Source organism: Homo sapiens, chromosome 2, assembly GCF_000001405.40.
Source record: "Homo sapiens chromosome 2, GRCh38.p14 Primary Assembly".
Lineage (NCBI taxonomy): Eukaryota > Metazoa > Chordata > Mammalia > Primates > Hominidae > Homo > Homo sapiens.
Window position 1 is genome coordinate 241,599,357 of NC_000002.12, and position 26,792 is coordinate 241,626,148.

At 50.0% G+C, this 26,792-nt stretch overlaps 1 protein-coding gene across 5 annotated transcripts in view, besides 7 other annotated features; it reads right to left on the bottom strand.

The window, feature by feature from the left end:
- THAP4 (THAP domain containing 4) overlaps positions 1-26,792 on the bottom strand; it is a 53,172-nt gene that overhangs the window by 14,952 nt on the left and 11,428 nt on the right. For 2 of the 5 annotated variants that reach the window (XM_017004256.2, NM_015963.6), the window contains exons 3-5: positions 6,958-7,117; positions 3,614-3,723; positions 2,540-2,643 (exon numbers count right to left, since the gene is read on the bottom strand). In XM_017004256.2, the coding sequence (XP_016859745.1) occupies positions 2,540-2,643; positions 3,614-3,723; positions 6,958-7,117 (374 nt within the window). Of the gene's footprint in view, positions 1-2,458; positions 2,644-3,613; positions 3,724-6,957; positions 7,118-18,055; positions 18,137-26,792 lie in introns of those variants that run through there. The other 3 variants (XM_011511291.3, XM_005247016.5, NM_001164356.2) reach the window with 2 other exon arrangements.
- Positions 9,108-9,277: an enhancer, noted in NCBI's record as "experimental_58008 CRE fragment used in MPRA reporter constructs". NCBI's record gives its function as "activates a minimal promoter by MPRAs in K562 erythroleukemia cells, with activity observed for both the introgressed and non-introgressed 2:242547964 variant alleles {active_cell/tissue: K562}" and the evidence as "EXISTENCE:reporter gene assay evidence [ECO:0000049][PMID:34662402]".
- Positions 10,184-10,685: an enhancer, noted in NCBI's record as "H3K27ac-H3K4me1 hESC enhancer chr2:242548955-242549456 (GRCh37/hg19 assembly coordinates)". NCBI's record gives its function as "activates a minimal SCP1, AML or CMV promoter by ChIP-STARR-seq in naive H9 embryonic stem cells {active_cell/tissue: H9 hESC(naive)}" and the evidence as "EXISTENCE:reporter gene assay evidence [ECO:0000049][PMID:30033119]".
- Positions 10,636-11,205: a silencer, noted in NCBI's record as "silent region_12546". NCBI's record gives its function as "represses an Ori minimal core promoter by ATAC-STARR-seq in GM12878 lymphoblastoid cells {active_cell/tissue: GM12878}" and the evidence as "EXISTENCE:reporter gene assay evidence [ECO:0000049][PMID:35858748]".
- Positions 10,686-11,186: an enhancer, noted in NCBI's record as "H3K27ac-H3K4me1 hESC enhancer chr2:242549457-242549957 (GRCh37/hg19 assembly coordinates)". NCBI's record gives its function as "activates a minimal SCP1, AML or CMV promoter by ChIP-STARR-seq in naive H9 embryonic stem cells {active_cell/tissue: H9 hESC(naive)}" and the evidence as "EXISTENCE:reporter gene assay evidence [ECO:0000049][PMID:30033119]".
- Positions 11,403-11,923: an enhancer, noted in NCBI's record as "H3K27ac-H3K4me1 hESC enhancer chr2:242550174-242550694 (GRCh37/hg19 assembly coordinates)". NCBI's record gives its function as "activates a minimal SCP1, AML or CMV promoter by ChIP-STARR-seq in primed H9 embryonic stem cells {active_cell/tissue: H9 hESC(primed)}" and the evidence as "EXISTENCE:reporter gene assay evidence [ECO:0000049][PMID:30033119]".
- Positions 16,196-17,002: an enhancer, noted in NCBI's record as "H3K4me1 hESC enhancer chr2:242554967-242555773 (GRCh37/hg19 assembly coordinates)". NCBI's record gives its function as "activates a minimal SCP1, AML or CMV promoter by ChIP-STARR-seq in naive H9 embryonic stem cells {active_cell/tissue: H9 hESC(naive)}" and the evidence as "EXISTENCE:reporter gene assay evidence [ECO:0000049][PMID:30033119]".
- Positions 18,177-18,296: an enhancer, noted in NCBI's record as "active region_17429". NCBI's record gives its function as "activates an Ori minimal core promoter by ATAC-STARR-seq in GM12878 lymphoblastoid cells {active_cell/tissue: GM12878}" and the evidence as "EXISTENCE:reporter gene assay evidence [ECO:0000049][PMID:35858748]".

Consider the following 26,792-nt stretch of genomic DNA (forward strand, 5'->3'; position numbering starts at 1 on the left):
ATGCAACAAACATTCACGCCTGTTGTTCTATCCATGCTGTGCCTAAGATCCTGGCTGTCTGAAAGTTACACCAGTGGCCCAGTTCAACACAGAGAAATCAGAAGTGTCCACACAATTATCAATAATCAATCTGAAGATTAAATGGGAAAAAATCTATTTACAAGCAACAAAAATGATAAAACACTTGAGTTTACCCTAACATGAAATGTACAAGACCTGTATAATTAAAACTATAAAGAAATAAAGCTTTTCTATATACTAAAATACACAAAACATGACCTAAAGTCACCGTAATACACTGTCACGCTGCATATTGCTACCCATGAAAATATGTCAATTCTACCCAAATTCATTCATGTATTCAATGCAGTCTTGATGTACATTTTATAAGCCTTGAGATGTTTATTCAAAAGTTCATCTAGAAGAGGAAATGCTTAAGAATGAGTAAGAAAATTTGGAGAAAAAATGTGGGAAACGTTCCCTTAGACATTAACATGTAATATACAGCTGTGAGAGCTAAAAATGTGTTACTGGTAAGGAAGTGGACAAGCAGACGAAGAAAGACAAACGAGGCTGGGCACAGTGGCTCATGCCTGTAATCCCAGCACTTGGGAGGCTGAGGCAGGCGGATCACTTGAGGTCAGGAGTTTGTGACCAGCCTGGTCAACATGGCTACTAAAAATACAAAAATTAGCTGGGCATGGTGGCACATGCCTGTAATCCCAGCTACTCGGGAGGCTGAGGCAGGAGAATCACCTGAACCCGAGAGGTGGAGGCTACAGTGAGCTGAGATTGTGCCACTGCACTCCAGCCTGGGCAACAGAGCAAGACTCCTTCTCAAAAAAAGGAAAAAAGAAAAAAAGAAACAGACCCCTATATTTATGTGGATGTGCTTTAATGTATGTATGACATTCCAAATCTGTGGAGTCAGGATGGAATTCGATGAATGGTGTTGGGACTACTGGGTCACTCATCTGGAAGAGTTAGAATTATACGCTGCGTCACTCAAAAAACAAATGTGAGAGAGATTAAAGGTCTAGGTGGTAATGTAAAAAGGAAAGCTGTAAGAATACAAGAAATGAAAGAACAGGCTGGGCGCGGTGGCTCACGCCTGTAATCCTAGCACTTTGGGAGGCCGAGGCAGGTGGATCACAAGGTCAGGAGATCGAGACCATCCTGGCTAACACAGCGAAACCCCGTCTCTACTAAAAACACAAAAAAATGATCTGGGTGTGGTGGCGGGCACCTGTAGTCCCAGCTACTCGGGAGGCTGAGGCAGGAGAATGGCGTGAACCCAGGAGGCAGAACATGCAGTGAGCCGAGATTGCTCCACTGCACTCCAGCCTGGGTGACAGAGTGAGACTCCGTCTCAAAAAAAAAAAAAAAAAGAAAGAAAATGAGAGAATATTTTTATCATTTTGGAGTGGACAACAACTTCCTTAGCAAGAACCCAAATCCAGACATTGTAAAGGAAACAGCCCAGAGGCAACAACAGGAAAGCTGAGCACCTGTGGGGCACAGCCCATCATGGACCAGGCCACAGACTAGGGAAGTATGTGTCACAAATAAAGCAGACAACAGATTAACCCATGGCATACAGAAAGCTCCTACAAATCTTTAAAAAAAAAAAAGGACAATCTGGCCGGGCACGGTTGTTCATACCTGTAATCCCAGCACTTTGGGAGGCTGAGGCGGGTGGATCACCTGAAGTCAGGAATTCAAGACCAGCCTGACCAACATGGAGAAACCCTGTCTCTACTAATAATACAAAATTAGCCAGGCGTGGTGGCGCATGCCTGTAATCCCAGCTACCCAGGAGGCCGAGGCAGGAGAATCGCTTGAACCTGAGAGGCGGTGGTTGCGATGAGCCGAGATCCCACCTTTGCATTCCAGCCTGGGCAACAGAGCGAAACTCCGCCTCAAAAAAGAACAATCCACAGAAAAACAGGCAAAGACTTTAAATATCAAGTGCACAGAATAAGAAGCGTAAACAGCCAGTGAGCATGGGGAATGAGCCCTCCTGCTTCTAAGTTAGATTCAAAACATGAGTGAGATTTCATCTTTTATTTCTCAGATTTGAAAGGACCGAAATTCTGAAAATACACCATGTTGTTAAGGAGTAGGGAACCAGCTGCCCTCATGCAAGAGATAGTGGGAGGATAATCATGAAGAAATACAATCTAACAGTGTGTATCAAATTTAAAATGTACCTGTCCTTTGATCCAGCAATTTAACTGGGAAAAATTTATCAATAGATATGGATATATCTGTAAACGTGGACAACCCAAATGCAAAAGGATGTTTGTGACAAACAACAAACCTCAAAAAAACCACACCACTGACCAGCCGAGGAGGGGGCAATGAATTTAGGGAACATCCACCCTGGATGGTCCGAGAAGGGAAAAGAAGGAGACAGTGAAGACAGGCCTGTGAGACACAGTGGCAAGACACGCACTACCTCACGGAAGAGGAAGAGGCTGACTCCACAGACCGCTGCAAACAGAAGACAGGAGCGTGCTGGGAGCAGGGCTGGGCTCACCTGCTCTACGTGGGGCTCCTTGGCGAAGGAGATCCTGGCGATGGAGTGGGATGCGATGCACAGCTCCTGCCCGTTCACCTCGCCCTCCTCCACTTCCACCACGCCTGCAAGGGAAGGGCAGTCAGCTCACCCAGCAGCTGCTCGGCTTGCAGAGAGGCAGCCTTGACTCTCCTTGCCTGCAAGCCGGGACTCCACAGGAGGCCCCAACTCTGCAGCTGTGGAAGCAACGATATTTCTCCTCCTCCCCACTTCACCCTGTGGATACGGAGGGAAAGCCACAACTCTCCTCACAGAACAGGCAGGTGCTCTATGGAAGGCCACCCTCTCCAGACTGGGCCCCAGCCCTCCCACCTCCACCCACCAATCAGCCTGGCAGAACCACCCCTAGCACATACAGTGGCAGAAGTCGCAGGTGGGAATGGACGTCCAGGAAGAAACACTGATCTAGAGTCACGCAGGCTGGTTTTTTTTTTTTTCTTTTTTTTTTGAGACAGAATCTCGCTCTGTTGCCCAGGCTGGAGTGCAGTGGCGCATTCTTGGCTCACCGCAACCTCTGCCTCCCAGGTTCAAGTGATTCTCCTGCCTCAGCCTCCCAAGTGGCTTGGGATTACAGGCATGCACCACCACACCCAGCTAATTTTTGTATTTTTAGTAGAGACGGGATTTCAGTATGTTGGCCAGGCTGGTCTTGAACTCCTGACCTCAAGTGATCTGCCCACCTAGGCCTCCCAAAGTGCTGGGATTACAGGCGTGAGCCACTGTGCCCAACCTGTTTTCCAGCAATTCCTAATGAATGCACACAGCTGATGGCCATTTCTGCAGACGTGGCACTGGGTAAACGGGCCCTCATGGTCAGGGGGCTGCACGCACACAACCTGTGTGCCGGAGGCCCCTACAGCTACACAGTCGGCCCCGCAGGCTCCCAGGACCACTCTCAACACTCAGGGCCATCCCCACGGTCCCCACCAGCACATGCCTCAGCAGGGTTGCACATGGGCATCCCTGCACCCCTGCTTCGAATGCAGGCAGCAGCCTCCCATGGCCAGCCCTCCCGCCCCGCAAGCTGGGCCTCACCTGTGTTCTGGGCGCTGACAAAGGCCACCTTGTTGGTGTCGGGCTTGAGGCGAATGAAGCCACACTCTCTGTGCATCGGCTTGCGCGTGTCCGGGTGGAAGGAGTTGAACCTGGACGGGAAGTTGGAGTTGAGAAGCCCAGGCACTGGCCTCCAAGATGGCGTGGGCTGCGTGGATGCCAGAACTGTCCAGGGTGCCCTCCAGGTGGCTGCTCCAGCCACACCCGCACACCTGTCTGCCCCTACCACCACCTTGCTCATTTTGGCTGTGTCTGTCTTACCTGCTGACCCTCCACTCCTGAAGACGGGCTGTTCCAGCCACGCCCACACACCTGCCCGCCCCCTCCACCACCTTGCTCATTTTGGCTGTGTCTGTCTTGCCTGCTGACCCTCAGCTCCTGAAGACGGGCTGTTCCAGCCACACCCGCACACCTGCCCGCCCCCTCCAGCGCCTTGCTCATTTTGGCTGTGTCTGTCTTACCTGCTGACCCTCAGCTCCTGAAGACGGGCTGTTCCAGCCACACCCGCACACCTGCCCGCCCCCTCCACCACCTTGCTCATTTTGGCTGTGTCTGTCTTGCCTGCTGACCCTCAGCTCCTGAAGACAGCACTGTTCTTAATCACCTCAGGGCATATCCTTGCCCTGGGCCCGTTAGCCCAGGCCTCACACAGTGTCAGCCCTCAGCACTCCCTTGCAGTAAACCTCACCCTAACACAATCTTTCTCTTTTGAGCTATGCTCTTGTGTAAGAATCTAATCAATTCCTACGGTAAAAAACAGAACAGGTGCTGAGTTATGGTATGGTTTCTTATCACCCTTCATCATTAGTGCAAATTCTCAACAGTAAAAGACAGGCACCTGCATCTTGAACTGAGGGCACAAAACCACGGCTTAAAAACTAACTCGCTGGCATGGTGACTCAAGGCCGTAATCCCAGCACTTCAGGGGCCCAGTCGGGTAGATCTCTTGAGCCTAGGAATTTGAGACAGGGCTGGGCAACACAGACCCTGTTTCTACAAAAATAAAAACAAAAAAACCAAACCAAAAAAAAAAAAGCCTCATTTATCATTTCACCAACCTTATGAGTTTCTATAGGGAATCCATCTCTATGATTCTTAGAGATAAACTTTATTTATTTATTTTTTTGCTCTGTCACCCAGGCTCGTCGCGGTCTCAGCTCAGTGAAACCTCCGCTTCCTGGGTTGAAATGATTCTCCTGTCTCAGCCTCCTGAGTAGCTGGGATTACAGGCGCCCACCACACCCGGCTAATTTATTTATTTATTTATTTATTTATTTTTTGAGACAGAGTTTCTCTCTTGTTGCCCAGGCTGGAGTGCAATGGCGCTATCTTGGCTCACTGCAACCTCCGCCTCCTGAGTTCAAGCGATTCTCCTGCCTCAGCCTTACCGAGTAGCTGGGATTACAGGCATGCGCCACCATGCCCGGCTAATTTTGTAATTTTAGTAGAGACCAGGTTTCTCCATGTTGGTCAGGCTGATCTTGAACTCCCAACCTCAGGTGATCTGCCCACCTCAGCCTCTCAAAGTGCTGGGATTACAGGTGTGAGCCACTGTGCCCAGCCACACACCCGGCTAATTTTTGTATTTTTGTATTTTTTTTTAGTAGAGACACAATTTCACCACATTGGCCAGGCTGGTCTCGAACTCTTGACTTCTAGTGATCCACCTGCCTTGACCTCCCAAAGTGCTGGGATTACAGGCGTCAGCCACCGCACCTGGCCAAGATAAACTTATTTATTTATTAAAACAAATTTTTTTAGGGTCTCACTGTGTTGCCCAGGCTGGTCTTGGACTCCTGGACTCAAGTGATCCACCCGCCTTGGCCTCCCAAAGTGCTGGGATTACAGGCACGAGCCACCGCGCTGGGCCAAGATAAATTTCTGTTGGGCTAGTGATGGTGCTACACCTTCTAGAATGGTACATGCTCACTAACATAACCCCGACAAAGAAATACATTTATACCATATTCTAGGACACACACACAAACACACATACCATCACATTTACTGAAATATATTTTCCACTCTGGTTCATTTTTCTTCGAATGCTAGTCACAAAATTGACTTTCTGACCTTTTCGTGGGTTATAATCTATAGTTTAAAAAAGACTGCTTGGGTTCTGGGTTATTTTGTATTACCCAGAATTCTCACCTTTTGGTTTATGTGCAGATGTATTACTTTGACCTCATGCATTCAATCAATAATAATATAAAAAGGTAGGAGATATTTTTAAAAACAATGAGATCTTCTAAAAGGGGATGGAGGGTCTCAGAGCTGGGGGTCTGAGAGCCAGGTGCCCAGCCCCGTTCTGAAACTGCTAGGCATTATACAAATAGTACCAAGTTGGTTTAATAAGATTCTTAACATATAGTTGTGTAATGGAGACTAAGGGAGGGTTTGCTTTTTATATTTTGTTTAAACTTTAAAAAAACTGTGTATTACTTCTATAATTAAAAAATAAAGATACTTCAACCACTCCCCATCCCTGGTGGCTCTCCTCTACTTCAGAGGCCTACACTGCTATCTCCCTAAAAGCAGGCAATTTCTCCACCTGTGGGGAGCAGGTGGTGGGAAGGGATACTGAGGGACCTCAAGGGGCTTTTGCTTTCTTGTACGGTAAGAATATGAGAACCACATACTAACAGCTTCCTTGTGACCCCAAATAGCTCAGGGGTACGTGTAAAATACAAACATGCACTATTATTTTCAGTAATATTGGGTGACTAATTTTTTTCTTTTTTTTTTTGAGACAGGTTCTCACTCTGTCACCCAGGCTGGAGTACAGTGTTATGATCACAGCTCACTGTAGCCTTGGCCCTCCCTGGGTTCAAGCAATCCTCCCACCTCAGTTTCTCGAGTAGCTGGGACTACAGGCATGTGTCACCACACCTGGCTAAATACTTTTCAGTAGAGACAAGGTCTCACTATGTTGCCCAGGCTGGTCTTCAATTCCTAAGCTCAAGCAATCCTCCTGACTCAGCCTCTAAAGTGCTGGGATTACAGGTATGAGCTACCGCACTGGCCAGGGTGATTAATTTTGATACATAAATTAAGTACATGCATTTGTTTTTATGTTTGGATTAACAAGCCTGTAATTTGGTGGTCAGCTTAATATCTCCAAAAATATAACAGAACCAGAAAGTATCATTTTTACCACTCTGTGTCTCAGTTGCACATTCAGGCAAGAGGACACCTTTCTGAAATAGATGGACAAGTTCCTTTTACACCTTCCTGCTTGGCCTTTGTCTTTGATCAGTCTGGAATTATTTTCAGAGACCTAGGCGGCCCATGAGTCAAGCAGGGTGGGGTGGAGGGAGACAACTTACGAGAAGTTCAGCATGGGCTGGCCCACGTGGGAGATGTGAACCTCCTCCAGGTACTGGAAGGGCTGCAGTGTGGGGTAGGTCCCGGCTCCAGGTGGGTCCGACAGCCAGGTGCCCAGCATCCAGGACAGTGGCTCCACCACTGGGTTCATCTTGGGGGGCTCTGAGGACAAAAGAATGAGACTATCAGTGGCCTCCCTCCAACCATGCCTTGCTGAGCTTTAAGCAGAATGCACGTTCCATATCGACGCTTGCTTCTGGTGGCCACAGCTAATCCTGGGGGACCTGTCAAGAGCGGGAGAAAATGGTCAAGCAACTGTAAATGTCATAGTGAAAGATCCAGCTTCAGAAGCCTCTGCAGTTCCTGCAGAGAAAAGAGATCCAACAGGGGCCAGGCAGGGCGCAAGCAAAGAGGCCTACACTGCTATCTCCCTAAAAGCAGGCAATTTCTCCACCTGTGGGGTGCAGGTGGTGGGAAGGGATACTGAGGGACCTCAAGGGGCTTTTGCTTTCTTGTACAGTTAAGAATATGAGAACCACATACTAACAGCTTCCTTGTGACCCCAAATAGCTCAGGGGTCCTCCATGTCCTACAGCAAGGCTGAAAGCAGCTCACACGGGAGGCACGGTGCCCTGGCGTGAAGAGTGTGTGAAGGAGACAAAGAGCATCAGGGAGAAAATGAAAGGGGATGCAGGGTCTCGGAGCAGCCAGAGTGTGAGGGCCCAGGGGCAGGCGGGGTTTAAAAGGGAAGTAAGACCCCGCTTCCCTGAGGAGGGGCTGGGGCTTCACAGCAGCCTGTGTAGTGGCCAGGAGACCCCTTTAGAAGGTCTCCTGTGGGGTTCAGTCTCTCATCCCACTAAGTGTGAAGGATGACACCACAGGCCTGGAACTCAGAGGTGGGGGTGCAGTGACAGGACAGCAGGGAGGGGCCGCTGGGTTGGCTGTTCTGCTGGGCGAACTCAAAGGGACCCCTGCTTCCTGCCTCGCTCAGCAAGGACTGGGTGCTCCCGAGCGGCTTTTCAGGATTCACTCACATGACCCTCACCCTGGCTGGATGCACGGGCCCTGCTCTTACTCATTTTCTAAGGGAGACCTGTGCGGGGACCACAGGAAAGCCCCACTGCATGCTACCCATCAGGGGCGCTGGAAGAGAAGGACTGATCCCCAGAGGCAATCCCAAAGACCTGCTTCCCAGGCCTGCTTAACCCTCAAGTCTCAGTGCTTCAATTGACAGAACGGACACTGACACCCAGGAGCAGCAGCAGGGACAGAAGCAGCTCTGTGGCCGCACAAGCCTCATCTACGGAGCCCAAAGATGCCCAAGCACAGAGACCGGCCTGCACATCAGGACTGACCCCCGGCGTCTCCTCCAGGCCCGCGCAAGCAGAAGACGGACTGACGGGGACAGGATCAGGACTGACCCCCAGTGTCTCCTCCAGGCCCGCGCAAGCAGAAGACGGACTGACGGGGACAGGATCGGACTGATGCCCAGTGTCTCCTCCAGGCCCGCGCAAGCAGAAGACGGACTGATGGGGACAGGATTGGACTGACCCCCAGTGTCTCCTCCAGGCCCGCGCAAGCAGAAGACAGCTGACGGGGACAGGATCAGGACTGACCCCCGGCGTCTCCTCCAGGCCCGCAAAAGCAGAAGACAGACTGATGGGGACGGGATCAGGACTGACCCCCAGTGTCTCCTCCAGGCCCGCGCAAGCAGAAGACGGACTGACGGGGACAGGAGTTCTTGGAACCATCGCAGCTTCTGAAATTACACAACCTTTGGATTATAAATTCCAGGAAGTCTGGGAAAAGAAGATCGGGGGAAAGGAAAGCAAAGGCTCTGGGGGTGGAGGAGACCACGTCCAAGAACAGCTTGGAACCAAGGAGGGCCGCACATGTGGCCTGGCCCAGTGGCCGAGCCCTGGGGCCCAGAGTGAGAACCGAGGGTGGAGAGCAGGTAATGAGCACTCTGCCTGCTGGCTGCACAGGGCAAACATAGGTGACCTGAAGCAGGAGAGTGGGAGAGTCCGCTCCTTTTCCAGACTGGCCTGTGGTCTTTCAGTATTTCCTTTTTTGTTTTTCTTAAATGATGATTTAAAAATTTTTTATATCAGTATTTCCTCCTCAGACTCCCGGTGAAAAGTGGGAAGGTGAGGATGGGAATATTTGGACTTCAATAAAACTTTCCTAATTAGACAATAAGAGAATTTTTAAATCAAGATTTTCGTTGCAATCTTTCACGGAGATAAGGAATAGAAGCTTCTGAATCCAATGTGTGGCCTCTGGAACGAGGCTTGTGATCTATCATAGCTGATCAATTCTTTCATCATTCAACGTGCTGGACACTCTTCCAGGGAGAAGCTGACGGAACAGTCATACATCCCTACGGAGCATACATCCTAGCGAGGGCAGACAATACACAAGAAATGAGTGAATGATGCAGAACTGAATGTACATTAGGAGATGAGGCAGAAAGGGAGACAGGGCTGTTGGGGCACTGTGAAAACCTACCCAAAAGGGACAAGGACACCCTCCCTGAGAAGTGTGCACAGACCAGGCAGGGGATCAGGGTCCCTGCAGCTACCCTGGAGAAGAGCAGACCAGGTGGAAGTGCCAGAGACGGAGGTCCTGGGTACGTAGGCCTGGTCTTGCTGGAGAGGAACAGGAGGCCAGTGTGGCCAGGGGAAGGAGATCCTCACCCCTCGGAAGGGCCGTGACCTTGACTCTGAGCAGACAGAAGCCCTCGAGAAGGCTGAGTGGGAGGGACGAGGTCTCTGACTGCAACCACAGGAAGCCAGGGAGGGCAATGGCAAAAACCCTTGTGGCAGAGGAGGGTGGCCTGGGCCAGGTGGCCGTGGTGGAGGCAGTGGAAAGGACCTAGCTTCTGGATCTATCTTGAAGGCAGAGCCACCCGGATGTGCTGATGGTTTGGATGTGAAACACGTAAGAAAAGATGGTAACGGAGGTTTCTGGCCTGAGCAATTGAGAAGACAAGTTACCATTAATGGAGAAAAGGAAGAATGAGAAGAACCTTGGGAGGTGTGAAACAGCAAAACTCAGTCACCTGGGATAGCCCAAGTCCTAAGATGGGCTAAACAAACACCATAATTTCTCAGACAGCCAGCTATAGCCTTGGAGACCTTTCAGTTTGGTAGACTTTATCCAGCTCAGCACTGAAAAGAAAGAGGCTTTGGGCCGGGCGCAATGGCTCACTGAACCTGTAATCCCAGCACTTTGGGATGCCGAGACGGGCAGATCACCTCAGGTCAGGAGTTTGAGACCAGCGTGGCCAACGTGGTGAAACGCTGTCTCTATTAAAAATACAAAAATTAGCCGGGCGTGGTGGCACACGCCTGTAATCCCAGTTACTCGGGAGGCTGAGGTACAAGAATTGCTTGAACCCGGGAGGCGGAGGTTGCAGTGAGCCGAGGTCGTGTCACTGCTCTCCAGCCTGGGCGACAGAGACGTTTTCTCAAAAAAAAAAAAAGAAAGAAAGAGGCTTTGCAAACCTCAGGTTTTTGGGCCGGCTCTCTGGCCTGTGCGGAGCACACCCCACAGCGACTGCCACGGGGCTCTGGCTCTCCTGGGACCGGGTGGACCCACTTCCACTGGTGAGCGCAGCCTGCATGGGAGCTGAACCCTGTGGGAAGCGGCACCCCGGGCGCTGGGGAGCAGCGATCCAGAGTCCAGGTTCTGAGCTGCTGCACCGGGGCCGCGATCTCCACCCCTCACGCCCGAGTCCCCGGCACGGCCACCACCGGCCCCTGGGTCCCGAGGGCCCCGAGGAAGAGGCCAAGGGGCCTGGCGGCGCCCCCCAGGGTCCCAGTGGAACAGGGGCACCAGGGCCGCGGCGCCGGGCATGGCCTTCACACTCCCCACGAGGCAGGACAGCCCCGGGCTAGGGTGAGGGGCACGCGCCGCAAGTCCTGCCTCTGCTCCCGGGCGGCCCCCTCCAGCCTCCGCCGGCCCCGCCCCGGAAGCGCAGCCCCGCCTCAGGCGCCGCATCTCCGCCCTCTCTTGCGCCTGCGGGACCGGGAGGGCCGCGCTCGCCCCCCAGCGCCAGGGTCACGCCACCGCGCCCTGTTTGGGGAGCGGCAGAGGAGTCAGGGCGGAGGCTGGGCGGCGCTGGGCGGTGGGGCGCGCTCACTGGCTGCCACCTCACCTAGCAGGCGTCACAGGGCTCACTCAAGAGCTCCAGCAAGAGCAGAGGCGGGAGCCTCGCCAGCCCCTCCACAGACCACAGCGACCGCGCCCCTCGGCCCGGAGGCCCCGCCCTCCCCACTCCTGCTTCCCCAGCCACGGGGTCTTCTCCCGGCCCCTCATCTACTTGGCAGACGCCTCTCACCGGCAGCCTCTGCCTCCCCCTGGTCTTTCCCTCCCACCACCCACCGTGGAGTCCTCTCCGGGAGGCCCTGTCCTCCATCCAGCGCTCCTCAGAGGGGACCGGAGAGGAGGCGCTCCTTAAATGGGGAAGAAAGACGGACAGAGCCAGGGACAGCGAGAGACGGGACGGGGACAGAGACACAGAGACAGAGAGACAGGGCCAGAGAGACACGGGGATGGGGCCAGAGACGGGGCCAGAGACAGAGACACAGAAAGGGATCTTACTCTTTCTTCCCTTAAAACCAGCTTCTGGGGGTCTCCGAGGGGGACTCTCAGGTAAGTAACAATATTATCACCTTCCCTCCCAAGAATTAAAAAAAACAAAAATAACGAAAAAACCTTTTCCCTGAACTTGATTTTGAGGGAAAATAGGTCACAGATACAACCCACAGCCACCAAAACACACATACGGATGCTGTGAGAAGTGGTGGGTCAGTGCCTCGCTGGAGGACAGGAGGGGCCTCTGGGAGCTGGGGGGGTGGCCCCTGAGAAGCCTCAGGGTCTGGCCTGGCTCAGAGGCCTGGGGCGGAGTGGGGAGCCCTGGACTTGGGAAGCCTGGAGGCTCTTCTGGCCCCCGCTCTGCCACAGGGAGCTCCTGCAAACAGCAGGCCCAGGGCACCCCACGCGTCTGCCCAGGACACCCCAGGTGTTCGCCCAGGTGCTGAAGGCCCAGGCTGGCCTCCATGCAGGGTTACCCACCACCCGCCATAGAGAAGTAATGCGCCACTCCGAAAGAAAGGGGTGCTGCCGGCTGGACGCAGTGGCTCACGCCTATAATCCCAGCACTTTGGGAGGCCAAGGCGGGTGGATCATCTGAGGTCAGGAGTTCGAGACCAGCCTGGCCAACATGGTGAAATCCCATCTCTACTAAAAATATAAAAAACTAGCCGGGCGTGGTGGCGGGTGCCTGTAGTACCAGCTACTAGGGAGGCTGAGGCAGGAGAATGGCATGAACCCCGGAGGCACAGGTTGCAGTGAGCCGAGATTGTGCCACTGCACTCCAGCCTGGGTGACAGGGTGAGACTCTGTCTCCAAAAAAAAAAAAAAAAAAATTAAGAAAGAAAGGCATGCTGCTCCTGAAGACCTTCTGCTTCTCCAGCAATGGACTAATGGACTCTAAGACACTGCCTGAGTTCAGAGATGGACAAAAGGTGACAAGACACCAAGTGTGAACAAGAGCAGCAAAACATACAAACTGCAAAATGTTGATGGGGCAAAGGTGAAACTAAGAGAAAGGGTCTTGCTCAGTCACCCAGGCTGGAGTGCAGTGGCATGAATACGGTTCACTGCGGCCTAGACCACTGGGGCTCAAGTGATTCTCCCGCCTCAGCCTCCCGAGTAGTTGAATGAAGCTGCTCCATGAAGAAAGACCACTAACTAAACATGTAAGAACTCAGGAGAGAAACGGCAAGGAAAGAGGAGAAGGTGAAACATGACCTGGCAGAAGTCGAGAAAGTAAAAGAAAAAAAATCAAGCCACCACCCAAATGAAGTGGAGATTGGAAGCAGCACAGGGAGAAACAAACACCGGGAAACACAGCGGAACACAGAGGACAGAAATGAGTTAAAAAAAAAGACAAAAGATAGAGAAATGGAAACAAAGTTAGAAGGACGGGAACGCCTGGCACACTGCTGATGGGGACGTGAACTGGCACAGCCTAGTGAAGACCATCTGGCATGTGCCTGAGAGGTTAAGTGTGGAGCAGTGGCCCAGGACTGCCACTCCTGGAGACATGCACTCCCAGCAGAAATGACACACCTGTCCCCACAGGACGCTGCCCATGAATGTTTACAGCAGCACCATTCCCAACAGCCCCAAAGTGGAAACAACACAGATGTCCGTCAACCAATGAGTAAACAAACTGCAGTATATCCAGACAATGGAATGTTATTTGGCCATAAAAATGAAGCACTAATATAAGCTGCAATTCAAATGGCCCTTGACAACACACCATATGAAAGCAATCAGGCTCAAAAGAGCACATATTCTGCAATTCCATTTCTGTGAAAGGTGCAGAACACACACATCTACAGAGACAGAACGTGGGTCAGTGTTTCTCCACAGCTGCGTTCTGTGGCAGAAGACGCTAGAGTCACACGTAGAAGGCGCATGAGGAGGGAAGGTGAGTGGCAAGGATGCTACGGCTGGCCACAGCGATCCTTCCAGATTGCAGGCGCGTGAGCTGGCTCACTGACACGTGCAGTGAGTGCGAGCTACAAACTAGATTCCGAAAACTCAGTCCAAAAAGTCTTCAAATAATTCAATAATCTTATAGTATGGGTGGTTGCCTGTTGAAATAATTTTTAGATAATATCGGGTTAAATAAAATATATTATTAAAATCGATTTCACTTGTTTCTTTTTACCTTTTTAATGTAGCTATTAGAAAATATTAAACTACATAAGAGACTCACTCTCTAGACCTTTTCGACAGTGCAGGAATGGAGTTTTCAACCCTTGGCACCCAAGGAGCTTTGTTTCTATGTCTTCTCCCTGAGGACATTACCAGCAGCTGGATGTCATCAGGAGACAATAGGGAAATGATGCGGAAAGAAACCTCCGTAAACACTGAATGTACTAAGCCAAAAAAAAAAAAAAAGCGGTTATAGAAACAACAAAAAAAAACTGGTTATAGGTGGTAGATGCCTGGTCGTACAGGCATGACACTCAACTCATAGGACCCTTGAAGGGGCAGAACTCCCCACTGGTCTTGTCCCTGAGAGCTGACACCACAGAGGCTTACAAATGAAGTAGCAGTGGAAGATTTCATTTTAAAAACTGGGCCGGTTGCAGTGGCTCATATCTGTAATCCCAGCCCTTTGGGAGGCCGAGGAGGGTGGATTGCCTGAGCTCAGGAGTTTGAGACCAGCCCAGGCAACATAGCAAAACACTGTCTCTACCAGAACTACAAAAAATTGGCTGGGCGTGGTGGCACGTGCCTGTCGTCCCAGCTACTCAGGAGGCTGAGGTGGGAGGATCGCTTGGGCCTGGGAGGCAGAGATCGCAATGAGCCGAGAGCACATCACTACACTCCAACCTGGGTGACAGAGCGAGACCCTGTCTCAGAAACAAAACAAAAACAAAACAAAAAAAAGTAAAACACAACAAGCATAATATAAAATAAGATGACAGAACCAAGACTAAAAATGCTTGAACTTACATATGAAAAAGCTTTTCAAGGCCGGGCATGATGGCTCATACCTATAATCCCATAACTTTGAGAGACCGAGGTGGGTGGATTGCTTGAGTCCAGAAATTCGAGACCAGCCTGGGCAACATAGTGAAACCCCATCTCTACCAGAAATACAAAAAAATTAGCCAGGCATGGTGGTGCGTGTCTGTAGCCCCCGCTACTTGGGAGGGTAGGTGGGGAGAATCACTTGCGCCCAGGAGGTTGAGGCTGCAGTGAGCCAAGATCGCGCCACTGCACTCCAGTCTGGGCAACTGGAGAGACACCCTGCCTTGAGAAAAAAAAAAAAAAAGGCTTTTCAGATTGGACCACAAAGCAAGACCCTCACCTCTTTTGCTGTAAATGAGAGATGCACCTAAAATAAAGCAATTCAGAGAGAGAGTCCAGAAAGCTGGGCAATAAGCAATAAGGAAGCAGGCTTCCCAATCTTAGCATCACGTAAAATGCATGGAACTAGACAAAGAATGGCTCTCCCGAATGAAGGGCAGAATGCACAATGAAGACGTAACCGTGAGGGATACTCATGCACCAAGCACAGCAACATCTATAAAGCAGAAATTACTGATGACACACGAAGATGTCGAGAGAAAGAAACTAAATGAAATTGCAATTCACCTCTAAGTCTGAATGAATACAAATAAAACAAAATTCCCAAATAATATAATTAATAAGGTAGTTCTGACTGATACATATTGAACTCTGTAGCTTAAAACTAGGGAATACCGCCGGGCGCAGTGGCTCACGACTGTAATCCCAGCACTTTGGGAGGCTGAAGTGGGTGGATCACCTGAGGTCAGGAGTTCGAGACCAGCCTGACCAACATGATGAAACCCCGTCTCTACTAAAAACACACAAAAAATTAGCCGGGTGTGGTGGTGCATGCCTGTAATCTCAGCTACTCGGGAGGCTGAGGCAGGAGAATCGCTTGAAACTGGGAGGCAGAGGTTGCGGTGAGCCGAGATTGCACCATTGCACTCCAGCCTGGGTGACAAGAGCGAAACTCCATCTCAAAACAAAAACAAAAACAAAAACAAAAACAAAACTAAGGAATGCCTTCTTCAAGTTCCTCTGGAACAGTCATGCAAACTGGCCTTCTAAATGGTCAAAGAAAGCCTGTAAGTTCCAGAAAGCAGAAAGAAGTCTACTGTCTGATCACAATGCAGTGAGACTAGAAATGAAAATCAATCAGGTGTCCCTTGAAAACACTGCGCGAAAAGAAAGAAGCCAGACAAAAACGTATATATTCTATGATTCCAATTAGATGAAATTCGAGACCAGGCAGAAAGGATGGAGGGTGGGGAATCTGAACGGTGACGGGGAGGGGCTTGGAGGGGAGTGCAAAGGAGAACCTGGACCGCTGGACGTGGGTGTGGCTGCACAAGCGCCTGCACCTGCCAAAACTCACCACGGGAACACCTAGGAGCTTGTGTTTCACTTATGCGAATTACACCTCAATAAAAATGTTATAAAGAAAAACCTCCCCAAACAAATTAATATTTCAAAAAGCAGAAAACTTAAAAAAACTAAAAGCATTTTATCCCAAGAGTGTTTACTATGTTACTGCAGCACAGGGTTCTGGGTGGCCTCAGAGCAGGGGATGTGGTGGGGAGTGAGGTCGGCCTCACAGCTCAGGGCCTTGGCTCCTGGCCCCAGGGTCTGCTGCCATCCAAGCTGCAGCACCTACTGCAGATCTAATATTTCGAGAAAAGCCAGAAGCTGATTTTAGGCTAAAATATCCCAATTTCTAAACATCTGTTCAAATTAAAACAAATGACACCACTGTGGTGTGAGTCGCATACCTTGGGGCAGGTGCAGAGGGCCAGAGAGGGCTGGAGCCACACACAGCGCCCTGCCCGGTGCCTCTCACCTCCCACCTCTCCTCTTCACTCCTCTCTTCTCCCAGGTGGGAGTGAGGACGCCACTGGCAGCCACCCAGCACATCCCCGTGCCCCAAGCCCACGGTTCCCGACACATCAGGAGAGCTCTTCGCCGCCCTCAGCCGTGTTTCTGAGTAGGTTTCGCGTTCCTCAGGATGCTGGGGAGCTGGTTCTAGACACAGGCCCAGCCCGGCTGGCCTGGAAGCAAGGAGGGCGCCCATGGGGACACACTCTGCCCCAGTCCTGCAGCTGGAGCAGCCCAGAGCCCCTGCCACAAGACGCCTGGGAGAACTCAGTCAGGGGGCTGGCAAGGACAGGTGAGCACAGCTGGCTCCTCAGAAGAACTGGGCTTATCTGAAGTCTGGTCAAGTTGAACTGGACCATCTATTCCCCCAAGTGGGCCTGGATGGGCCAGAACCTTTTACGTAGGAGGGACGTGGCCCGGGCTTTCTGCCTCGACGACTAGCCCAAGGGAGATGGAAATGAGAGTGAGATAAGAGGGATGGGTGGGCTGGAGATGGCCAGCAGCTGGCATTGCTGGCAGCTTGGAAGGCGACCCGTGACATCAGTGAGAAGGGCGGGTGCAGGCGCACGAGAGCTGAGGGCGAGCCCTGGCATCAGGACCAGAGAGGCCCACCACAGAGCGGGTAAGCAGTGGCACCTGAGCAGGGGGATGGTGTCCTGGTAAGAACAGGTAGGGAGAGGCTGCCTCAAAAATTCTGGCTAAAAGTGAGCTTTTGAGTGGACTTTGCTATGTGCATGCCAGGTCAGGGAAGCAAGTCCCGCGGGCCCTGGAGAGAAGCTACCCTGCAGGCGGCTGCTGCTTCAGGGGCACAGGGCCCACACCACACTTGGGGACAGGACAGGACGCAGCACTTATGTGGCAATTTCTTTTTAAAAAACTAGAGAATTCTAAGATAGCTCTGAAATTCAGAAGAAACGCTTTTGAGCAGAAAAAATAACATCAGACTGGAAAGGAAGGAGCACGCGGCTAAGCAACTAGATGGAGGCTTACGGCTGTGAGCAACTAATGGCTGTGAGAAATACTTCCCTTCCTGTCGCCCTCCTGGCTTGCTGTTATTTGCTCTGAATCTTAATGGAGTTTAATTTGGACAGGGACAACAGGTCAGGCAGTAAACAAGCAGCGGCGGCGCCTCCTTCTGTCTACACTGCACCTCACCAGGTTAACCTGCTCCTGGGGCCGCTCCCCCTGCACCCTCCACCACTTCGGGCCGCGTGGAACGTGGCAGCAGCCTAGCCACTGTCCCTCCTTGTTGTCACTGAAGCATGGGTGGGGGTGAGGACGACCAGTAAGAGAATTTTAGAATCCAAACATCAGGTTACTTGAGCCTAGATATATGTTAAGATCCATCAAACTGTGACCTCAATATCTGTGTATTTTACTCTCTGTAAATTATACTTCATTAGAAAAAAATAAATTTAAACATGAAACAAAAAATACTATAAAGGACCTAGTCTATTTGTCACTTTCCACCTCTTTAAATAAACCAGACAGGCTTTTCTAGGCATTTCTTTTCTGATTTCATTTTTCTTTTATTGAAATCTCAACCAAAACACAAAAACAAAAATTTAAATTTCCTGCAAGAAATTTAAATTTTCATGTTTTGGCCCAAGACACTGAAAGCAGGCTTACCCATCCCTAAGTTTTCTAAACTCCGGACACTCGTCAAGGTTCCTCAAGGTTGTTTTCTGCCAATTGACGGGAAATGTTTGCACCTGGCTCTTAATGGCTCTGCAGGAAGTGAATGCTAACTTTAAATGGTGCATTCTGGGAATTGTAGTTCCACTATGAAAGATCACGTCTCAGAAGAAAGTAAAAGACAATGACAGCCCAGATCACAGAATTTCAGAGCTGGAAGGAGCTTTGGAGGTTAGGTGAATTTTATGAAAGAGGGACTGGCCAGAGGTCTGGGCGGAGTGACGAGTGCGGCTTCTACCCTCAGCCTCCTCCACCAGCTACAGCAGAGGAAGGCAACACCACAGAGACAGGCACATCCTAAATGCTTTCTCTCTCCAGAGCAGTCCCTCTGGCCACCCCTGGCATGTCCTTTTCTGTCTCCTAGAGGGTGGCTGGAGACTCATCTTCACCTGGACATGGAGGCTCCAGAGACTGTCCTGTCTCCTGGCAAGCGGCCCGGGAACCCAGGACAGGAAGTGAGCAAATGCACCCACTGGGACCTGGGGACGGCTCCTTCCTGGAGCTCCCACCCTCACATCTCTTTGTGTTAGTGACACGTTGTTTCCTGCCAAGGCACACACAGAAAGGGACACTTACTGCTTAGTACAACAGGGTGCATGGAAGCTGAGGGTGCGCGGCCCGCACCAGCTGTCCCAAGGTGGGGAGGAGCTGTCCAGGAACACCGTGATATGTTTGGGTCCACTGACAAGGCATACCAGCAGGGAACTGTTGTTTTAAAGTGACATCAAGGCCCTCAACTTATCAACCATGAAACGGAAGGAGTTGCATGCCCAGGGGAAAAACAGAAATCATGATGGAGAGAAAATACAGCAAGTATTTCTATAAAATATAAAAAGGCCATAAAGTGGATACAAATAATTTGCAAATGTTATGTTTGATTTCCTCGTTAATCTGAGTCTCAATTGAAGAACTATTAGAATCTACAAGTGAATTTGATAAGATGGCCAATTACTAAAATGGGTAGCTTTCCCACACGCTAGCAATAACCGAAAAATAATGGGTGGGGAGTAAGCTTCCGGTTTCCACTCTCACATGTAAAGAGCTTAGGAGTCATATACCACAGCCTTAAAACAACAGCAAAAAACACTGAAAGAAGTGAAAATCAACAACTTTTCTTGGATCCATAAGGAAGTGAGGTCACAGATGTCTCTCCTGCCACAGAGAATAGCAGTGAGATCAGCTCACGTGGAGCAGAATCTACAGTCTACAGGGGAAGGAACTGGTGGGAACTTGATTTGGACAAAATGCTGGAGGCTGAACATGGCAGGTGTGAGAATCTCCTGGGGTCCTACATTTTCATAGGTTTCACCTCCAGGAACCCCATCAGGTTCTCCCCACGAAAAGCCAAGAAAAAAAAAAACACCTCATGTCTCTGGGATGAGGAGGGGGAGGTGACCACCTTGAAATGAGCCCAGAGCGTTCTCCAGGCAAAGGCCAGGCCTGCTCTGTAGCGAAGCTGACTTCACCAGGACCTCATCTCAGCTGGGAAGGGCATTTCACTGCTCCAGCCCCACCAGTCTTCCGTCTCACCCAAGCGGGGAGGAGAAAGGGAAAGACACGTGTGAAGGTCACGGCTCAGGGACACGGGCCACTGAAGGGCTTAAATCGAGTCACAGGCTGGAGCCTGCTTCCCCTCCCAGCCCTGCAGGCTCCAGCATAACATCCTGGGTGGGAGTGGAAAGGGCCCAGGCGCAGGCTGTGGAAGGCATGCTCGGAGAAACTCCACGACAACAGGGAGACAAAACAAGGACACTCGAGGAATTTTACAGCCACTGCAGGATTAAACACAGCCCGAGTGCCAGCCAGGTTAAGGGGATGGATGCCCTCCAAACAAGGCACACTTACTTCACCTTTCAGTCAAGCAGCACTTACTGATGGGGGATGCGTTGACAAACACGTCATGAGGCAAGTTCATCATTGTACAAACGTCACAGAGTGCACTTACCGCGTACCACGCACCTAGGCTGTATGGCACAGCCTGTGCTCCCAGGCTACACACCCCAGTGTGTTACTGAATACTGTAGGCAGTTGTAACACAGTGCCAAGGGTGTGTGTACCTAAAACACATCTAAACATAGAAAACCTACAGTAAAAATATGGCATAAGAGACAAAAAATGGTTCACCTGCATAAGGCACTTACCAGCACTGGAGTGTGCAGCATGGGCAGTTGCTCTGGGTGAGTTGGTGAGTAAGTTGGTAAGTGAGGGGTGAGGGGTGAGTGAGTCGGTGAGTGAAGGGTGAGTGAGTCGGTGAGGGGTGAGTGAGGGGTGAGTGAGTTGGTGAGTGAGGGGTGAGTGAGTCGGTGAGTGAGGGGTGCGTGAGTCGTGAGTGAGGGGTGAGTGAGTTGTGAGTCGTGAGTGAGGGGTGAGTGAGGGGTGAGTGAGGAGTCGGTGAGTGAGGGGTGAGTGAGGGGTGAGTCGTGAGTGAGGGGTGAATGAGGGGTGAGTGAGGGGTGAGGGGTGAGTGAGTCATTGAGTGAGGGGTGAGGGGTGAGTGAGTCGGTGAGTGAGGGGTGAGTGAGTCAGTGAGTGAGGGATGAGTGAGGGGTGAGTTGGTGAGTGAGGAGTGAGTGAGGGGTGAGTGAGGGGTGAGTGAGTCGTGAGTGAGGGGTGAGTGAGTCGGTGAGTGAGGGGTGAGGGGTAAGTGAGTCGGTGAGTGAGGGGTGAGGGGTGAGTGAGTCGGTGAGTGAGGGGTGAGTGAGTCGGTGAGTGAGGGGTGAGGAGTGAGTGAGGGGTGAGTGAGTCGGTGAGTGAGGGGTGAGGAGTGAGTGAGGAGTGAGTGAGGGGTGAGGGGTGAGTGAGTCGTGAGTGAGGGGTGAGTGAGTCGTGAGTGAGGGGTGAGTGAGTCGGTGAGTGAGTCAGTGAGTGAGGGGTGAGTGAGTCGGTGAGTGAGGGGTGAGGGGTGAGTGAGTCAGTGAGTGAGGGGAGAGTGAGTCGGTGAGTGAGGGGTGAGGGGTGAGTGAGTCAGTGAGTGAGGGATGAGTGAGGGGTGAGTGAGTTGGTGAGTGAGGAGTGAGTGAGGGGTGAGTGAGGAGTGAGTGAGGGGTGAGTGAGTCGGTGACTGAGGGGTGAGTGAGTCAGGAGTGAGTGAGTCGGTGAGTGAGGGGTGAAGGGTGAGTGAGTCAGTGAGTGAGGGATGAGTGAGGGGTGAGTGAGTCAGTGAGTGAGGGGTGAGTGAGTCGGTGACTGAGGCAGTGACTGCGGCGGTGAGTGAATGCAAAGGCCTGGGAGATGACTGTACACTATGGTAGACTTTCTCAATACTGCACAGAGGCTACACTAAATCGATTAAAAAAAATTGTACTACGATGTTACAATGGCTACAATGTCACTAGGTGACAGGACTCTCTCAGCTCCATTATAATCTTACGGGACTACCATGGTGTATGTGGTCTGTCATTGACCAAAACATCATCATGTAGCACACGGCTGGATCTGATATTTCATGTCTACTTTGCAACCAAAAATAACGAGACATGCTAAAAGGCAAAAAAAAAAATCTGAAGAGAGAGAGTGAGCATCAGAACCAGACTCAGGTACGGCAGAGATTTTAGAATTACCACACGGAGAAATTAAAATTACTGGTTAGTTTGGGGACAGTGGCTCACCTCTGTAATCCCAGCACTTTGGGAGGCCAAGGTGGGTGGATCACTTGAGGTCAGGAGTTCGAGACCAGCCTGGCCAACATGGTGAAACCCCATCTCTACTAAAAATACAAAAATTAGCTGGGCGTGGTGGCGGGTGCCTGTAATCCCATCTACTCGGGAGGCTGAGGTAGGAGAATTGCTTGAGCCCAGGAAGCAGAGGTTGCAGTGAGCCGAGACTGTGCCACTGCACTCCAGCCTGGGCAACAGAGCAAGACTCCATCTCAAAATAATAGTAATAATAATAAAATCAGTACAATTAATATGCTAAGGGCTCTAATGGAAAAAGTGGGTGATAGGCAAGAAAACATGGGCAATGTAAGAGGAGTGATGGACAAAAGAACAAAAAGGAAATTGCTGCAAACCAAAAATGCTAACTGAAATGAAGAATCTCTAAGGGCTCATCAATAGGATGGATATGGCTGAAGAAAGAATCACTGAGTTGAAGATATGTCAATAGAAACTTCCCAAACTGAAATGCAAAGAGAAAAAAACGGAAAAAAAAAATCAGAATATTGGAGAATTGTGGGGCAAAAGTGTTACATGAGCATAATGGGAATGCCAGAAAGAGATAAAAGGAGCAGAAGTATTTGAATTAACCATAGTTCAGAGTTTTCCAAAATTATCGATGACACCAAACCACAGATCCAGGAAGCTCGGAAAACATCAAGCAAGATAAATACCAAAGAATCTACACATAGGCATGTCATACTCAAACTGCAGAAAACCAAAGACTAAGAGAATCAAAAGGAAAAAAAATCCTTACATGTAGAGCAGAAAGAATAAGAATTACAGCAGACTTGTCAGAAACCACGCAAGCAAAAAAAAAAACCAAACCAAACCAAAAACGTGCAACTCTACATCCAGTGAAACTATTCTTCGGGTGCAAAGGAGAAGTAAAGAACTTACTTTTTTCCCATTTTTTTCTAAATCTCTGAAAAAGAAACTCAATATAAAGACTTATTTACGCGGGCGCGGTGGCTCACGCCTGTAATCCCAACACTTTGGGAGGCCAAGGCGGGTGGATCGCCTGAGGTCAGGAGTTCGAGACCAGTCTGGCCAACGTGGTGAATCCCTGTCTCTACTAAAAATACGACACTGGGGCTGGTGGCGGGCGCCTGTGATCCCAGCTACTTAGAAGGCTGAGGCAGGAGAATTGCTTGAGCATGGGAGGTGGAGGTTGCAATGAGCTGAGATGATCACGCCACTGCACCCCAGCCTGGCGACAGAGCAAGGCTCTGTCTCAAACAAAACAAAACAAAAAACAAACAAAAAAATTTCTTTAAATAAAAACAGAGAATTCACTGGCAGTACCTCTTCCCTTTGAGAAATATTAAAAGTTCTTCAGGGAGAAGGAATATGATATACGTCAGAAACTAAAATGTATGTAAAAAAAGGGAGAGCATCAGAGAGAAGTAAGTGAAGGTAAAATAAAATCTTTTCTTATTCTTAATTGACCTAACAGAAAACAAACAAAAAAAAAGTTTTCTTTTTTTGAGATAGGGTTTTGTTCTGTTTCCCAGGCTGGAGTGCAGTGGCATAATTACGGCTCACTGCAGCTTCAACCTCCGGGGCTCAAGCGATCCTCCTACCTCAGCCTCCTGTGAAGCTGGGACTACAGGTGTGCATCACCATGCCTAGCTAATTTTCTTATTTTTTTTTGTAGAGATGGGGTCTCACTATGTTGCCCAGGCTGGTCTCAAACTCCTGGGCTCAAGCAATCCTCACACCTCAGCCTCTCAAAGCTGAGATTACAGGTGTGAGCCACCTCACCTGGCCCTGAATATATGTTGACTATAAGAAACCCACTTTGAGGCCAGGCACGGTGGCTCACGGCTGTAATCCCAGCACTTTGGGAGGCCGAGGCGGGCGGATCACAATGTCAGGAGATCGAGACCACCCTGGCCAACATGGTGAAACCCCGTCTCTACTAAAAATACAAAAATTAGCTGGGTGTGGTAGTGCATGCCTGTAATCCCAGCTACTCAGGAGGCTAAGGCCTCCTGAATCACTTGAACCAGGGAGTCGGAGGCTGCAGTGAGCCAACGTTGCACCACAGCACTCCAGCCTGGTGACACAGTGAGACTCTGTCAAAAATAATAATAATAATAAAAATAAAACAACAACAAAAAAACCCCACTTTGAATATAAAAACATAGATTAAAAGTAAAGGGATAGGCCAGCATGGTGGCTCACGTCTGTAATCCCAGCACTTTGGGAGGCTGAGCCAGGCAGATAGCTTGAGCTCAGGAGTTCCAGACCAGCTTGGGCAACATGGCAAAACCCTGTCTCTACAAAACATACAAAAATTAGCAGGGCATGGTGGCACGCATCTGTAGTCCCACCTACTTAGGAGGCTAAGTGGGAGGATCACCTCAGCTCAGGAGGCGGAGGTTGCGGTGAGCCAAAATCATACCAGTGCCCTTCAGCCTGGGTGTCAGAGCAAGACCCTGTCTCAAGAAAGAAAAAAGGAAAAAAAAAAAGAGAGAAGGTACAAATTATTGATATCATTTAAAAAAAAAAGAAGGGAGGGGGTCAATCACTGTTAATCCCATGGCCATTAAAAGCTTAATAGAGCAGTATCATAAACACTTCCATGCCCACAAATTTAATCATATAGATGAGATGGACCAATTCTCTGAAAGATACCTCCACCAAAACTCACACAAGAAGAAATAGATAATCTGAACAGGCCTATATTGAATATATGGAAAAAAACAATCTCTTTCTCTATACGCACACTCAGGACACTTCTGTGGCCACATGCAGGTCTTTTCCCACACTGACCAATTCTCTGATACCATTTGGGTGTCCTGCACGTCAATTCAGTTCTGACACGAACTGGAGTTCGTGCACATCCCACAGGTTAAGGGCTCAGTCCCACAAGACTGCCCCCATCTGAGGACGATGGCAAGTAGTGGGTCCCAGGTTACTCACAGCCTCTGCCCCACCTGGCTACAAATCCAGGCTTCCCACAGCCCTTTCCCTGGGTTTGATAATCTGCTAGGAGGCTCTCAGAACCCAGAAAAAGAGTTTATTTACTAATACCAATTTATTACAAAGGATATTTTAAAAGACACAAATAGCCAGGCGTGGTGGCTCACGCCTATAATCCCAGCACTGTGGGAGGCTGAGGCGGGCAGATCACGAGGTCAGGAGATCGAGACCATCCTGGCTAACAAGGTGAAACACAGTCTCTACTAAAAATACAAAAAATTAGCTGGGTGTGGTGGCGCGTGCCTGTACTCCCAGCTACTCAGGAGGCTGAGGCAGGAGAATCGCTTGAACCCAGGGGGCAGAGGTTGCAATGAGCCGAGATCGCGCCACTGTACTCCAGCCTGGCAACACAGTGAGACTCTTTCTCAAAAAAAAAAAAAAGATACAAATAAACAGTCAGAGGAAGAGCTCAGGGAGAGGTCTGGAAGGGTCTCGGGCAAGGGGCGTCTGTCCCTGTGGAGTTGGGGTGCACCATCACCTCATCCAGCACACAGATGTGTTCACCAACCTGGAAGCTCTCCAAATTCTGTAGTTCTGAAGTTTTCATGGAGGCTTAATTACATAGGCATGATCAATTATTAACTCTACCCCATTCCTCTTCCTGCAGGATGGAGGGGGTGGGGCTCAAAGCCCCTAGCTTCTGTTTATGGCTTGGTCTTTCTGGTGAGCAGCCCTCATCTGGGAGCCCCCCAAGAATCACTTTATTAGAACATTCCAAGGGATTAGGAGCTCTGTATGACGAACAGAGCAAAGACCGACTATGAGAACGGAAGGTGGTCGGAGCGCCATTTTGCTCAGGAGACGACAAGGGTTTTAGGAGCTCTGGGCCATATTCTGGGGCAGAGACTAAATATATTTTTTTATTATGTCACAGCATCTATTAAAGAAATGGAATAATTAATAGCTTTCCAAAACAGAAAGCACCAAGCCCTGCTAGCTTCATTGGTGGATTTTACCAAGCATTCAAGGAAGAAATGAAACCAGAAAACAGTAGCAGAGGAAATGCTTCCTAACTCATTCTGTGTGTCCAGCAGGGCCCTAATACCAAAACACGCACACTACAAGAAAACTACAGGCCGGGTGTGGTGGCTCACACCTGTAGTCCCAACACTTTCAGAGGCCAAGCTGGGAGAATCACTTGGACCCAGGAGTTCGAGACCAGCCTGGGCAACAGGCTGGGACCCTGTCTGTACAAAAATATTAAAAAACTAGCCAGTGTGACGGCACGTGTCCATAGTCCCAGCTACTCGAAAGGCTGTGGCAGGTGGGTCACCTGAGCCGAGGAGGTTGAGGCAGCAGTGAGCCGAGGTCACACCTCTGTACTATGCACTCCAGCCTGGGTGACAGAGTGAGACACTGTCTCAAAAAAAAAAAAAAAAAAGGAAAAAGGAAAAAGAGTCCAGGTGTGTGGATCACGCCTGTAATCCCAGCATTTTGGGAGGGTGAGGCAGGCAGATCACGAGGTCAGGAGATCGAGACCATCCATGGCTAACACAGTGAAATCCCGTCTCTACTAAAAAATACAAAAAATTAGCCGGGCGTCATGGCGGGCGCCTGTGGTCCCAGCTACTAGGGAGGCTGAGGCAGGAGAATTGCTTGAACCCGGGAGGTGGTTTTTGCAGTGAGCTGAGATCGTGCCACTGCACTCCAGCCTGGGCAACAGAGCAAGACTCCGTCTCAAAAAAAAAAAAAAAAAAAAAAAAAAAGAAAAAAGAAAACTACAGACAAATATCTCTCATGAACACAGATGCAAAAATCTCTAAGAAAACATTTGCGATTGAATAAAAAAAATGTATAAAAAGAATTATTTGCCATGACCCAGTGAGATCTATTCCAGGTATGCAAGGCTGGCTCTGTGCTCTAAAATTGATTAACGTAACCCGTCACATCAACAGGCAAATCATCTGACCGTAAATCACAGGATCACATTAATAGGTGCAAAAAAATCATCTGACACATTCCAACATCCCATTCATGATAACAGCTCTCAGCAACAGGAATAAATGGGAATTCTGTCAACTTGATAAAGG